The sequence below is a fragment of the Homo sapiens genome, chromosome 10, assembly GCF_000001405.40.
Source record: "Homo sapiens chromosome 10, GRCh38.p14 Primary Assembly".
Taxonomy (NCBI): domain Eukaryota; kingdom Metazoa; phylum Chordata; class Mammalia; order Primates; family Hominidae; genus Homo; species Homo sapiens.
Genome location: NC_000010.11, coordinates 117,309,999 through 117,325,065, shown reverse-complemented (window position 1 = coordinate 117,325,065; position 15,067 = coordinate 117,309,999). Strand labels below are relative to the sequence as shown.

Genomic DNA, 15,067 nt, shown 5'->3' with positions numbered 1-15,067 from the left:
TATCTGAAAATACGAGATTCCAGTCAAAGCTTGGTACTAGTGTTTCCAACTGTGTCCTTTTACAAGGAGAACAGATTCTTAAGAAACTTTCATAAATGATTATATTGCCATAAAATTAAGAATACTCACTAATAGTTTCCAAAATCTGGAGGGATCAGATGGGATGAAAAAGTAAAGGCTTCAAATTTTGCTCACAAAAGTGAACTTTACCACACTGCCATAAGCTATAGATTAAAAGAAAAAAAAGTTTCTTTAAATCTGGAAAACAAAACACTGAAGAATCAGCAATATTTCAAATAAAAAGTCATAAAAAATTATTCTCATCAGTTTATTCAGTTCCGTGTAATTTATTCTTATTCTGCCAGATCTTGGTTAGCAGTTTCATGAAGCCATCAGTTTCTTCATTAGAGTTTTATAAATTCTTATCCAGGCCAATGGTATGATCTTAAAGTTATCAGAAACTTGTATTCCAGAGTACTTATAATGAATCTTGACGAATAAGCAATTTTGGACTGTAACTGACTGCACATGCTTTTAGGGAAGAACCAAAACCATTGTCTGTGGATGACCAAGAGTTAGAAATGGCCATGGCTAAAAATCTGATGAGAGTTCATTATAATCAGCAATTGACAAAGAAATTTGGTTATTGCTATGGCATTGTAACATTTAACATAATAACCAAAAATCATGACTGATAACTATTAGATTTCTAGGAATCTCTTACAAATTTTGGAATAATTTGGAAGTCATTTGTTTCTTATTTTGCTCTAAGGTCCTCTTGAAATGTTCTGCTATGATTACTAGTTTAGCTCAGTCCTGTAGCCTCTTGTCTTTTTTTTTTTTTTTTTTTTTTTTTTGAGATGGAGTCTTGCTCACGCTGGACCATCTTGGCTCACTGCAACCTCAGCCTCCCGCGTTCAAGCAGTTCTCCTCTCTCAGCCTCTTGAGTGGCTGAGATTACAGGTGTGCACTACCACATCTGGCTAATTTTTGTATTTTTAGTAGAGACAGGGTTTCACCATGTTGGCCAGGCTGGTCTCAAACTCCTGGGCTCAAGTGATCCACCCTCCTTGGCCCCCCAAAGTGCTGGGATTACGGGCGAGAGCTACTGCTCCCTGCCTGTCTTTTGTCTTTTTTATGAGCCTGCATCAAGTTGGGGGAAGCTGGAATGCCTTACCAAAAGGGCTTCCAAGTGAATTTTCAAGTCAGTAACAGCTTCATATTTCTCTAGCACGCAGGTCTGGATGATAGACCACATAGTGCAAATGGAAAAACACTTTAGGAATGCCTTTCAGAAAGTCATTTGCAATTCTGGGGGCTTTGCCTTGCCCATAAGTAGATCCAGGTAGGTCTTGTTGGGTCACTGATACCATTCTCAGGAGAATACTGTTCTGCCTCTTACATTCATTTTTGTGCTTCCTCAGGTCCCTTTCAACAAAGTGTATTAGTTGGTAGAGGTCAGTAATACCAGGTCATAGGTTCCAATTAAGACCATGAATTCTTCAGAAAAATTTTGAAGTTCTTCCCTGGATTTAGAAAATTGTCTATGCTTTTGTCCAGGAAGTATAAGTTACTGGGGGATCATTTTGGAATTTTCAGGGGGTTTTATTTTATAAAAAAGCTGTTTAACTGCTTTTTCAGAGAAGAAAGGTAGTTCAAACGGTAGTAGACTGAATATTCAGGCAAAGTAGGATAGAGGGGAGCAGTAGTAGTGAAGCCAGTCTTATTTTCCTTGGTATATGAGGATTATCTTGCATTTTTAGCTTTTCATTAGCTTTTTGCAATGAATCTTTTATAAAAGCTATTTTTGAATCCTGTTGTTTCTTTAAGGCTTCTGAATACCAATTAAAAGGAGAATCCCATTCTCTCTACCAATTAATTGGGAGGCTTGGGATTCAAGTACATTTCTTAGATGAACGATCTTGTTCTTCTGGAACGGTCTTCATATGGCCATTGTAATTCTAAATTATCTTTAATAAGGTTTTGCCACTTCTGTAAGTATATGCAGCTTTCAGGCTTAATACTCATACATGTGAAAGTCAGGTGTAGTCAGAAGGCTGAGTACTCAGCTCTTCAGAAATTAAGGATCCTATTTTTACCTTGAGTCTTGGGTCTCCCAGAGCCAAGATAAAAACCTAAGAGGGATATGCCACGAGTTTGAGTCCTATAATGTTTCTACAGTATACTTCATTGCATGGATATTTTCTTGTGGCTGCTGGACAACTTTATGTTAACTGACCCATTCCCTGACCAGGCTTATCTTCTCATGGTAGTCTTATTTTTTAGTGATGGGTTGCTCTAATAGCTCTTACATGCCTCACCCGTTTCCACCAGTCAGGTTATGGCTTTGGCTCTGACATTCCACTGATCAACCTAGCCAATGATTTTCCCATTTCTCTGTGAACCAGACACCTGAGGCCTCTCTTACCTGAGTGTACAAGAAAAATGAAGAATGTAGAACCAACATAACTGCAAATTCTGAAAACTAGAGTTCGTGCCCCCTGCAGTAATAACCACTTAGTTCAACCACTGTCGGTTACTTTTAAAACTGCAGCTCTTGCCAGTGACTCCTCAGCTACTGCAAATCCAAAAGTCAAGTGCCTTCTCACAGCACAGATTAACCCCAAACCACAGAGATCAGGGAACTCAGGGCAAAAGAAAGCAAAGCTTGAAAGCAAAGCAAAAGAAAACAATTTTCCGGGCTTCCTGAGGAAGACAGAGGATCCAAAAGGGGGGTCAGCAGCACCTTTACCATGTTCCTCGAGGTCTCTGGGTCATGGGTCATCAGAAATCTCCTTCATGTCCCTTCATATGGCCGCCAGAACTGTCAAAAGACAAAACTACAACTAATTTAGTTATAAGTCTGTTTGGGCCCCTTATTTGGTTTGTTCTTATTAGGATCTAGCACAGGAAGGAGCTCAGTACAATGGCCTCCCATAATTTTTGTTTAGTGCACCCAACCTGGAGATGTTTTTGGGAATACTCATTACAATTGAACGAATCAGTAACAATCCAAAACAAAAACTTTTTCTGTGGTATTTGTCACAAAACAAAGATCAAGTCTTTGAATAGGACAAATAATGCTTTGTATGCTTTAAATTTTTATTGTTAAGAATGTTATTAATATGTATGGTTATTTTTCACAATTAATGATGTTTTTGAATTTATTTGGTTTTAAGGTACCCTTTTAATGTTTTCTGTTATCAAATATCTGTATCAAATAAAGAGCAGTCTTACATTTTATTGGTTTATAATCTTGTCACAATATATTGATTTATAATCATAATAAACCAATCATTTATTATTACATCTTTTTAAAAAAATCTTTGAAACTTTAAATGTAACCTTACCACAGAAAAATGATTCATTATTTATTGTTACGCTTACTTATTTTTTCTTTCAATTGTTTTATTGAGATATAATTAATATACCATGCAATTCACCCATTTAAAATATACAAGTAACTGATTTTTAATAAATTTACAGGGCTGTATAACCACCGTCAGAGTTTAATTTTAGAATATTTTCATCCCCCTCAAAGAAACTCCATAACCATTATCAGTAATGCCCATTTTCCTCTAGTACTCCTCCTGCAACCCTAAATAACTTTCTATCTGTATAAATTTGCCTATTCAAGATATTTTATATGAATGGAATCATACAATATGTAGTCTTTTGTGGCTGGCTTATTTCACTTAGAAGTTTTTCAAGGTTCATTCATAGTGTATGTAGCATGTATTAATACTTCATTTATTGCCGAATAATATTTCATTATATGGATATGACACATTTTATTTATCCCACTCATCATTTGATGGATATTTGGCTTGTTTCCACTTTTTGGCTATTAGGTATGAATAATGCTGCTGTGAACATTTGCATGCATGTATGAATGTATGCTTTCATTTCTCTTGCTTACACACCTAGGAGTGAAATTACTGAGCTATGTGTTAACTCTATGTTAACTTTTTAGGTAACTGTCAAATTGTTTTCCAAAGTGACTATATCATTTTACATTCCCATCAGCGATGTATGAGCATTCTAATTTCTCCATATCCTCAGCAATACTTGTTATTGTCTCTTTTATTATAGCCAATCTAGTGGGTATAAAGTCATTTTGATTTGCCCTTCTTCAATGGCTAATGATGTTGAGCATCTTTTCATGTGCTTGTTGACCATTCGTGCATCTTTGGAGATGTGCCTATTCAGATTCCTTGCCCATTTTAAAATTGCATTATTTGTCTTTTTATTGTTGAGCTGTAAAGAATTTATATGTTTTTTGGATACTAGGCCCTTATCAAATACTTGTTTTGCAAACATTTTCTCCCATTCTCTGGGTTGTTTTTTCATTTACTTTAAAACTTTCCTAACTTTGGTGGAATCCAGTTTATCTATTTTTCTTTTGGTACTTATTGTATTTAAGAAACCATTGCCTAGTCCAAGGTCAAAAAGATTTACTTTTATGTTTTCTTCTAAGGATTTTATAGTTTTAGCTTTTATATTCAGGTCTGTTAATTTTGAGTTAATTTTTGTTAAACTTTTGAGTTAATTTTTGAGTTAGTTTATGTTAAATTTTGAGTTAATTTTTGTTAAATTTTTTATTACTCTTTCTAAAAACATTTTTAAAGTGCTGTGAAAAATATGGAATAACTTACGATTACAGGGGAGAATTTCTGACAATTTTGCTTTTTCATTCCTGAATTCTGAAGATTTATACCTGTCAGGAATTTGGGGACACTAGCTGGTGCAGTTTTGTCTGCCTGATAGTAAAGGCCCTTAGGTAGTTTACTCTTTGAACAGGTGGTGGCAGCAGAGCTTTAATGAATGTAAATTCTCATTTTTTCCCTAAACTTAGTGTTTTATGTTTAAGAATCCTGTATGTATTTGGACTGCCTTCTTTTTGATAATAGGTTGTTAAGCACTAAGTTTAAAGTTCCTTTTAAGATTATTTAAGAATTGTTTAGAGCTTAGAATTTTAGGGGTTTGTTTTTGTTTGTTTGGGTTTGATTTTTCACCATGAGTTTATTCAGACTTCTGTTTGTGAGTCTAGTTTGTGGAGTATGGACATGATTTGCTTGAGGTCTTTAACCTGCGGACACAGTTTTTTTTAAATTTCTCTAATGTGTTTTATCCACCTTTTCATTATTCACTACTACCTCATGATCTTCATAGAGAGGTAAAGTAATAGAGTAACAGTCAACATGTTCGTTAGTGTTAAAGCTGTTCTCAAGCTTACTCCTGAAACAAGTTGGCAGATTTACATTCTGATTTTGAGGATAGATAATATAGAAGTTGGACCCATGAGTAACCTTTTTTCTTCAGCAATAAAAACTATATTATATAATCTCGTGACTGGACCTCATATGTCTTTTTTAGATCTAAATATTAAACAGTAAAATTACATGATGCCAGTATTCCTTGACAATTGTTTTCAAGACAATAATAGAGATAACATTTATTGAGCACTTAGTGTTTGCTAGGCACTATGCTAAATGCCTTGTGTGCATTGCCTTTTACTCACAACAGTTCTCAGAGGTAAGTACTATTTTTGCCCAGAGTTTCTAGAGGAGGAGTTGGGCTTAGCGTAGAGAAGTTAAATAATTTGCCTGAGGTCACATTAGTAGATGAAGAGTGTGTGTGTGTGTGTGTGTGTGTGTGTGTGTGTGTGTGTGTTTATGAGCAATTATATTGCACTTTAGTGTGTGTATGTGTTTTACAGAGTTGATGGTATACTAGCATTATTCTGCATCTTGTTTGTTTTTAAATTCAACAGTCTGTTTTGAAGATGTATAGCTCTTGCTGCTACATGTACATATTTGGTCAATTTCTTTACCTAATGAGTAGATAATACTTTGTATTTGTTTGACTTAGCTGCTGAAAAATAGCATATCCTGGAATCTCACCAAATTTTAGCTTTACTTCATGTTTCCACTAGAGGGTGTATAAAATATTTGACTTAATTTTTTTTTCTGTTACTAAAGCTATAATAGTAATGGAGTAATGTGTTGTTTCTTGTTATAATAATCAGAAAGAAAAATTTTAATGAATATAACAGGTATGATACTCTCCCTTGTTTTGTTTTATTCTGCAGGTTACTCATTTTTGGATCCTATGACAGAGAGGCAAATGTTCATTGCACACTTGAGTTAAGCAGTAGTGTTTGGGAAGAAAAACAGAGGAGTTCTATTAAGACGGTAAAATGGATTTACAGTGATTTATATCTATATAAAGTTCTATTTTATAAGCATGCATTTATTACTATTTCTGTATTCCTAGAGTTATTTTTGGTCATGTGCAAATAGCTATGAACAGTTCTTATTTATTTGTCTCGTTACAATACAACTACAGTGATAAAGTAAATCACAAGAAACTATAAATAGTATTCATATTACCTGCACAAGAAACCTAGTCCGACTAGCTTTCCTTTCAGAACTTTAAGATTGCTTCAGTTATGAAATTAGAAGGAACTAATTTTAACTAAACACCTTCAAATACATGTGAATTCAGAGTATTCATTATTCATTCATTGGACAGATATTTTATGAGCACTTACTTTGTGCTGGGCACTGTTTTAGATGCAAGAGAAACTGTTCAAGACAAAAAAGGCCCCTATTCTTGTGATACTAACATGGGGTAGATTTGTGGTATGGGGATTAGAAGAGGGAGGAGGTGATCTACATTTTATAGGGTAAAGATAGAACACAGTAATAAATGGTAAACAAAAAAAGTGAACAAAGCTATTCCCAAAGATTCACAGGTGCTATGAAGAAAATAGGCATATGACAGAGGAATTATAAGTTATGATAAAGGAGGCTCTTTAGATCTGGTGATAATAGGACTCTAAAGAGATGACACTGGAGCAGGCTTACCAGAGGACACCCAGTTAAATCTGAATTTCAGATAGTGAATAATTATTTTAGTAGAAGCATGTACCCAGTACTACAGGATAACAGTCAAAATCCTGCTAAGTCTTTAATGGACAACTATGTAGTATTTTTATGGATATTCCTTTGACTTTTAAATTGTTTCTGATTTATTTATGTATTAACTGTTGTGAACATCTTTATATAAAAATTGGGCAGTATGAAATTATTTTGGAAGAAAGAGGGTAATTTTGATCAGAGTGGAGAAGGAGGGACAAGAAAAACTGGAAAGGGAGGATGGTTGGCCCACAGTGTTTGCGTTTATGAAAGCAGTGGGGAGCTGTTGAACATTTTGAGCATGGTAATGACATGGTCAAAATAGAGGTTTCATGGAAAGTTTCCCCTTTCTTTGGTGGCTGTTCTTGCCCCAACCTTCTTTATGTTATATCTCAAACAATTTGAAGCAATTCCTCAGAAGATTGAAATAACTAGCATTAGAATTTGTTTTGAAATACATAACTACATGAAGAAGCATTATTGTTTTGTCCAGCTAAATTTTTGCGTTTACTTTGAATTGGTCATAACTTGCCATTGCTATTGGCATTTTCAATATCCTTTATTATATTTGCAAAGATATGAGATTAGACAGTTCTAATATTTTATAGCAAAAATTGGTAAGACTTTAATCTTGTCATTATTTTAGATCTTAGTATATGTCATAAGTAGTGTTGAGGAAAGAATTCTAGGTTATTAATTATATCTGATGTTGAAAATGTCAGCAAAGTGTCTACAGGCATTAAATTACGAATGTCTGAATTTAATATTCCTAGGGAGGAGAATTATTAGTTCCTTAAGACAAAACATCAGGGAGTAGGATTCAATAATTTGTAATACATTACAAATATGGGTAGAAAATAGAACATCATTAAAACAATTATGCTAAATTATTTGATGAGTTTAGGATGCTATCTTTGTATAAATACAATCTCTAGATTTAAACAGTATTTAATGTTGAAATTTGTTCAGTCAAGTTAGTCACTAATTATAATGAATATACAGAATAAAAGAAACTTAATTCCTGTCATACTTTTAATGTGCCTTGAGTTTTTAAAGGAGTATAATACTGTAATCTAGGAACATAGCTTCCTCCTTCATCTTCGTTAGCATGGAGTTTTTGCCCTGATGGTTGCAAGATGTCTAATGCATCCTTAGGATTTTACCTTTCAAGAAAAAGGGTGTGGTCTAAAGCTGGCCAAAAGCACATGTCAGCCATGTCCTTTTTAAAACTTTCCTGGAAGTTCCTCCCAGGGATTTCCAGTTATATCTCATTGGCCAGAAGTGAGTCCTATGGCCTCCTCAGCAGCAAGAAAGTACAGTATGAGAAGCCATTTTAATTTTTCTGCCTTTGTAGAAGTAGAAGGCAAGGGAGAAACGGAGTTATGAATGGCTTTTATGTAGCCAGTCCACAAGAAAACAAATCTATTTGATGACCTTTTCATTTTTTATTTTTTTAGAGACAGGGTCTCGCTCTGTCACCCAGGCTAGAGTGCAGTGGCACAATCATGGCTTACTACAGCCTCCAACTCCTGGGATCAAGTTAACCCTCCCACCTCAGCTTCCACCTCCCGAGTAGCTGGGACTACAGGTGTGCACCACTACACTCATCTATTTATTTTTAATTTTTATTTTTTTGGTAGAGACAGGGTCTTTCTATCTTAGCCAGGCTGGTCTTGAACTCCTGTCCTCAAGCAGTCCTCCCACCTTAGCCTCCCAAAGTGCTGGGATTAAAGGGACTAGCTGTCACACCTGGCCATGACTTTTTATTTTTAAGGGAATTTTTTATAAATTGGGACATAAGGGAGAAATTGCAAAGAATAATTTAGCAAATACCCTACATAAAGCCTATTTTAGAAATACCTTATTAGAAATCCAAGAAAAGTTTGGAGCAAACTCACTCAGACCAGTGCCCTGCTTAGCTCATTTATACAATAAAAGAGCTCATAGGATAAATGAGGTACCTTGTGGTTGTGTTTGTTCTTTGAAAATAATGAAGATTCCTCATGAGAATCCTATAAGCCAAGATAGCTGAGGTATAAGTAAATTAGATATTAGGCTTAAACAAAAATTAGGGGATCATCTTACAAGAGATGACAGAGTAAATACTAAAAATTACTTTACCACACCAGAAAGAGACAGTGCAATTTGTGATTTATTTCGGGTCCATTGCAGTATTCCGGTTTGGTGATCATACTTTGCTTAACTTTCACCAAGAAAGAAATTTAAGGAGTTTTCAGATTTTAAAAAGTTTCAGGCCATGATATTTTAGTAATAAACTATAAAAATATCTATAAATATCTGTGGAATGTATAGTGCTTACAAATAAAATTCACAATAAATTAATCTGACATATATTAAAGCACATGTGAATCATTATGTGCCTGGTTAGCGCCACAGAACACATAAATGTCACAGTAGCACACATTGTTTGAAAGAGAGAGATCCTAAGTTTTACCCTCCCAGAATTGGAGTTTTCTTGCCACTGACCACCCAGTTGCTTTACCCCTAGTTCCAGACACAAAATAGATTATTGTTTTTTTTTTTTTTTTTTTTTTTTTGAGAGAGTCTAGCTCTGTCGCCCAGACTGGAGTGCAGTGGCGCAGTCTCAGCTCACTGCAACCTCCACCTCCTGGATCAGTTCTCCTGCCTCAGCCTCCTGAGTAGCTGGGACTACAGGCGTGCACCACTGCACCCAGCTAATTGTTGTATCTTTAGTAGAGACAGGGTTTCACCATGTTGGCCAGGCTGGTCTCGAACTCCTGGTCTCAGGTGATCCACCCACCTCGGCCCCACAAAGTGCTTGAATTGTGGGCATGAGCCACCGCGCCTGGCCTCAGACACCAAATAGATTATTAATAAAAGTTTTGTTCTCTTTCCCTCTCTCTTCCTATTTTAGCTAGTCTGCCTGTGCCTTCTGTATCTTCTCTTCATCATTTATCCACACTGACTCACTTGATTCTTCAAATAGGTTGTTCTATTCCAACTCTATCCTTCCAATTTGGAATGTTTGAGGCCACTGGGGAAGAGAAGGTACCATGAAAATGGGCTCTGGAACCTCTGAATCTGGGAATTCTAGGGTAGAGGAAAAGGCAGTAGGGGCTAGTACAAACACCCACCTATTCTTTCATTCTGAATAAAAGGATGTAAGGAGTTCTGATTTTTAGAAACAAGCGTTTATGTACATTTTCTGATGCTAACCCTACTCTCCATCTTCCTTCAACCTACCACGCTCTGCATTCAGGTACTTGACAGCAATTGCCTTTCATAAGAGACCAAGTATTTCCCTTTGCAATTAGAGACACGAGGTTGAAAATCCAAACAATATTGGTATATAAATATGTCACTATCAGAAAGGAAAGATGAATATGAATTTTTTCCTCTTTTGAAATGGAGAGGAAATTATAAAAGAAGCTTTTGCCCTTGTTTAAAGTACATGGGCAGAAGAGAGAACAATCATTTGTTCAGTATAAGTAAAAGAGTAGAAGTACTTCATACCTTTTGTAGCCCAGTATGCAGGTACCAGAGGGAACTGTGGTTAAAGGCATTAGGAGATGACATGCTACTTCAGATCTACCTAAAAAGCAAGAAGTGATGCATCCCTGAAAAGCATTCAGCTAACAGTTGGGGAGAAGCTGTAAGTGATATATTGGAGTTCTTAATCAGAACAGTATATTCTTTCTGAGTGTTACATGGTATTAACTGGCAACCGTTATAAGAAGGGCTTTAGATAGGGTCAGCCATATTTAAAATTGTGAAGCCTGAAGAATTCACCTCCTAGATTTTGGACTTTTTCTTTCTGTTTGAATTGAGTGGTATTTTTTCTTCTTTTTAGAAAAGAAAGCTATTGTTTTCTCATCAAAGTGTAATCCGATTCTAAAAGGTAAATCATTGATACCAGCCTCCTATCAATTTTTAAACATGCCCATACAATTAAAGAGATATTTGAGGAGATGATACCTATATTCTAAGAACTACTGCCAGGGTAAGAAACAAGATATGCAAACAAAATGTCTAACATATGTAGCACTTTAGAATCTATGAAATACTCTTCCCATATACAAAGAGCCAAAGTCTTCTGACTATAAGATCTCTACTTGTTTGATTAAATCCCACTACCTCTAACAAAAACTGGACTGTGAATGGTATTCAAATAATTAGTAGTGATGATAATGGGATCATTTTAGAACAGAGTTAAGGAGAGATCTGAAAGTATGGGGAGATGGGATTTGAATACAAGGGCCTTCAAAATACGATCAGCCATGTTTACTTGCCTAAGATTAAGCCTGATTCAGAGACAGTCTGGCTTATTATAGAGCCCAGTGAGTCTTTGTTTACTTCCAGAGTAATGATTAGGGCAGTTGAATTCAGGAAAGACTTAGTGTAAAGGAAAAGTAATCAGTTGGGAGAAAAAAACAGTATTTAGGGAAATCATTCCTGATACAAAGATGCTAAATGAGCATATAGAAGAAATGAAAACAGTAAATGCATTTTCAACTTTCAGAAAGCTTTTGATGAAGATCCATACCAAAGTTTCCCAACATCTAATTCCTAGGAGAATATTTTGTCACAATTAGATCTGGCTTAGAGATGTGGGAAACAGGGTAAGGATGATCAGGTATAGTGTCCTGAATGATTGAGCCCGAGACTTTGATCATTTTTCATAAATGATTTAAAACAGCACTAATAGAAATATAATATGTGGCACTTACTTAATTTTAGATTTTCTAGTGGACACTGTAAAAAACAAGCAGGAGAAATTAATTTTAGTAATGTTTTATTTGACCCATATATCCCAAACCTGGTCATTTTGACATGTAATCAACATAAAAATCAATGAGATATTTTACATTCTTTTCTTATACAAAGTCTTTGAAATCTGGTATATATTTTACAATTGCAGCATAGGTTGAATTTCAGCTACATTCCAAGGGCTCAGAAGCATGTGACTAGTGGGTACCATATTGGACAGCACAGATCTAGAAGAAGGAATGTACAGTATAATCTTCAGATTTACACATGGCACTCAGCTCAGAAGTGCCAGGTTAAGAAGTAGAATATGAAGGAAGAACTCTCAGGACAAGTATGTAAGAAATAAATCCAAACTACACTTTAAAATATGAGATCTAGGATTCTTAAAGAAGTAGTCAGTATGTCACTGTGCTTCCAAAACAAGAAATCTGACTTTTCATGAAAGATGTCACAAAATGAAATCTTTTTATACCCTTATTTTAAAACTATGAAATTCTCTGGGAATAAATTATTTGTGCATTTATGGTTGCTATAATACAAGGAATTTAAAACAGAACTGGATAGGGCGAGGACAAATAATTAAAATTAACACGGAAATGAGATAGCCATATAAAGATAAATGGATGGGAAAAAAATTAGTGTTCTTCAGCTGAAAAGACAAAGGTGGGTGAATGACTAATGGAAGCATATAAATACAAAAAGTAAACAATAAGGATAGTCAGCAACCTTACTGGAACTAAATCTGTAGAGCAATGAAGATAAATCTCATGTTCCTGATGATAATCAGATGATTCACGCTAAAAGAATACTTAAAAGGTCTTCGATAATCCAGCATGCTAGACACTTGCTGGTAGACTTCACAGAGACACAAACATGCTGTATTTTTTTTACGCTATGTATCCTGCACCTAGTAGAGTTTCTGGCTTGTTGCAGTTTAGTGAATGTCCTGGGAGGAAAGGGGAGGATCAATGAACTTTTGAGATAAAAATCTGATTTTATCAGTTGCCTGCCTCAGTGGTTTCTGATTGCGTATTGTAGGATGACAAATTCCAGCCCTCGCAGGCCTGGTCCCTATTTATTTCTCAGCCCTCCTTTCTCCCCTGCCATTCTCCAGTTTAGCCATGCTTTCACTCCTCCACACTTGCCATACTCTCTGTCCTCTACACAGCCATGGTACATGTGCACTCTACCCCCAACTCATTTCTCCCCATACAAACCTTGGTTAACCCATTCATCCGATCTCTGCTTGTGTTAGACCTTAGCTTGTTTGCCCTCGGATACATTCTTGGGCCCTTCCCTGCTGTATGCCATGAGAGGGCTGACCTTTGCAGGCTGTATTTCAGCTAGGTTTGACCAATGTAAAGCACTGATGGGAAATAGGAGTGAACTGGGAAAGCCAGGGTTTTCTTCCTCTTCCCCCCTCTGCATTGGACAATGTGTCTGACAGCCATTCTTTCTCCTTCGTGGCACCATGCTTCTGACAGGACAGGCCCACCATATTTCCAGCTTCTGCTTGATACTGTAGCCTCTGGCCTCTACTAATACCACCTCTTCCTCCCCCTGCCCTTCCTTCCAGCCAAAGGTTGATAGTAACTTCTTAGAACTGTTACTCATATCTGAGTGTCCTCACTGTCTCCTGTTTGGTACTCAGTTCTTCTGTCACCAAGTAGCCATCCTCTGTTTTAAAGGGCTTCCATATTAAATACTTAGTTTTCTGTTTTCTTAGAGCCTATTAATAAAACAGTAATCATCATTTCCTCTGGAAACCTTTCCTAACTATCATGAAACTCCTTGGTAATGCTTATCACAGTTGGGATTTCGCATTTATGTTTCTATGATAATGTGATCAGTATTGTCTCCAGCAATATCTTCCGTATCAGCAGGTACCATGATTGTTTTGCTCATAGCACGTGGCATTCAGTGGGTATTCAGTAAATGTTTTCGGTATGACTAAGGCTGGCTGTCTGACCATGAGCCTTCATACAACCTCAACCCTTCTTCTTCCAGACCTTCAAAGTTTTAGCGTGACTTTTAGTCACACTTCTGTTTCCTTTCCATCTTCAAGGCTATTCCTGATGTATGTTTTAACCAAATAAAAATGTTTAGGGTAAGGAAGTCCACAAAATGAGAGATATACTACTCAATATTAATTTTGTGAAAAGCCTGATTTTTAGAGTGAGGATTTTAGTTTACAGATGTGGTGCATTATAGTATTTTATTTCTGGCATTACTAAACACATCAAAAACATTTCTTACTCTATGTGTATAGTTTAATGTAACCTAAATAAAATGACTAGGTATAATCTAAAATTTTACTTGCCTTACTTCCCTTTCAGTTTTGGAGAGTTTTAGAAGTCTTGCTGAATGAAATTGAATGCACCTACAAGCCCACCTCTGTCATGTATTGTTGAATGTACATACAAAGAGTATAAAAGAGCTTCCTAAAGAACTGTGATTTCAAGTAAGAATATTTGAGACAGACAAACTTACAAATACGTTAGGCCAGATGCCTCAGAGTTGGCATTTTGGTGTGTTTTTTTAAGGCCAGATTCCTTGCAGATAGCATTTTGGTGCTCCTATTTAACCATTTGCCATTTACAGTCTTAATCTTATCAAAAGGAAGAGAAAGATTAAAGCAAATAAAGCCTTTTTGAAAATGTCAGTTTTTATGAAAACTCAGGTTTAGTTCAATTTGATAATACTTGTGAATACAGTAGGGACTCAATGAAATTTTAACCATATATAACATTCTATAGTTTGGCTTCTTTAAATGCCTTTGAGCTTTAATAGTAAATCCTATGGAACATTTCTTCTCTTAAAGTTCATCTTGATTAAAAATGAGGGATGTAGTTCTCTGTCTTAGGTTTTCTAAGTATGTTTACTATGATTCTAAGATGCTGGGGAAAGAATAGGAAGTTATGTTAAAATATACAAACATAAACTCTCCAGATCAAATCAGTGGAAGGCACTATGAGTATGAGAACAGGAAACTGAGTATGAGGTGTAAGGCATTGTATCATCTTTCCCTTCAAGGAAAATTCGTAGTAGGGAAATCAGAGCAACAGTACTGTGAGTATCAGTAGTACTGTGAGGTTCCAATGAGGGAGAAGTAACATTCTTTTGGGAAAACAAGAAAAGAATATATTAAGGCGGTGACATTTGAACCAAACCTCATAGTATGTATAGGATTTTGAGATGGCAGAGAGGCCAGTTCAAGATGAGGACATAACAAAATCCCCAGTTAAGAGTGAGACTATTTGAGTATCTTTGAGATAGAGTGAGTTGTTCAAGTTGGCTAAAGAATATGATAGCATAGGAAGTTATGCAAAACAAGAATAAAAAGGTCGGACCACCTTATAGAGGACTTTAAATACCACACTAAGAAGTTTGCCTGTTAC

The 15,067-nt window shown here is 35.8% G+C and overlaps 1 protein-coding gene across 8 annotated transcripts in view; it reads left to right on the top strand.

The window, feature by feature from the left end:
* Positions 1–15,067, top strand: part of PDZD8 (PDZ domain containing 8) — a 98,167-nt gene that overhangs the window by 50,375 nt on the left and 32,725 nt on the right. For 3 of the 8 annotated variants that reach the window (XM_005269518.5, NM_173791.5, XM_047424575.1), the window contains one exon: positions 6,092–6,194. In XM_005269518.5, the coding sequence (XP_005269575.1) occupies positions 6,092–6,194 (103 nt within the window). Of the gene's footprint in view, positions 1–6,091; positions 6,195–10,752; positions 10,801–14,005; positions 14,131–15,067 lie in introns of those variants that run through there. The other 5 variants (XR_945602.3, XR_007061943.1, XM_011539265.3 and 2 more) reach the window with 3 other exon arrangements.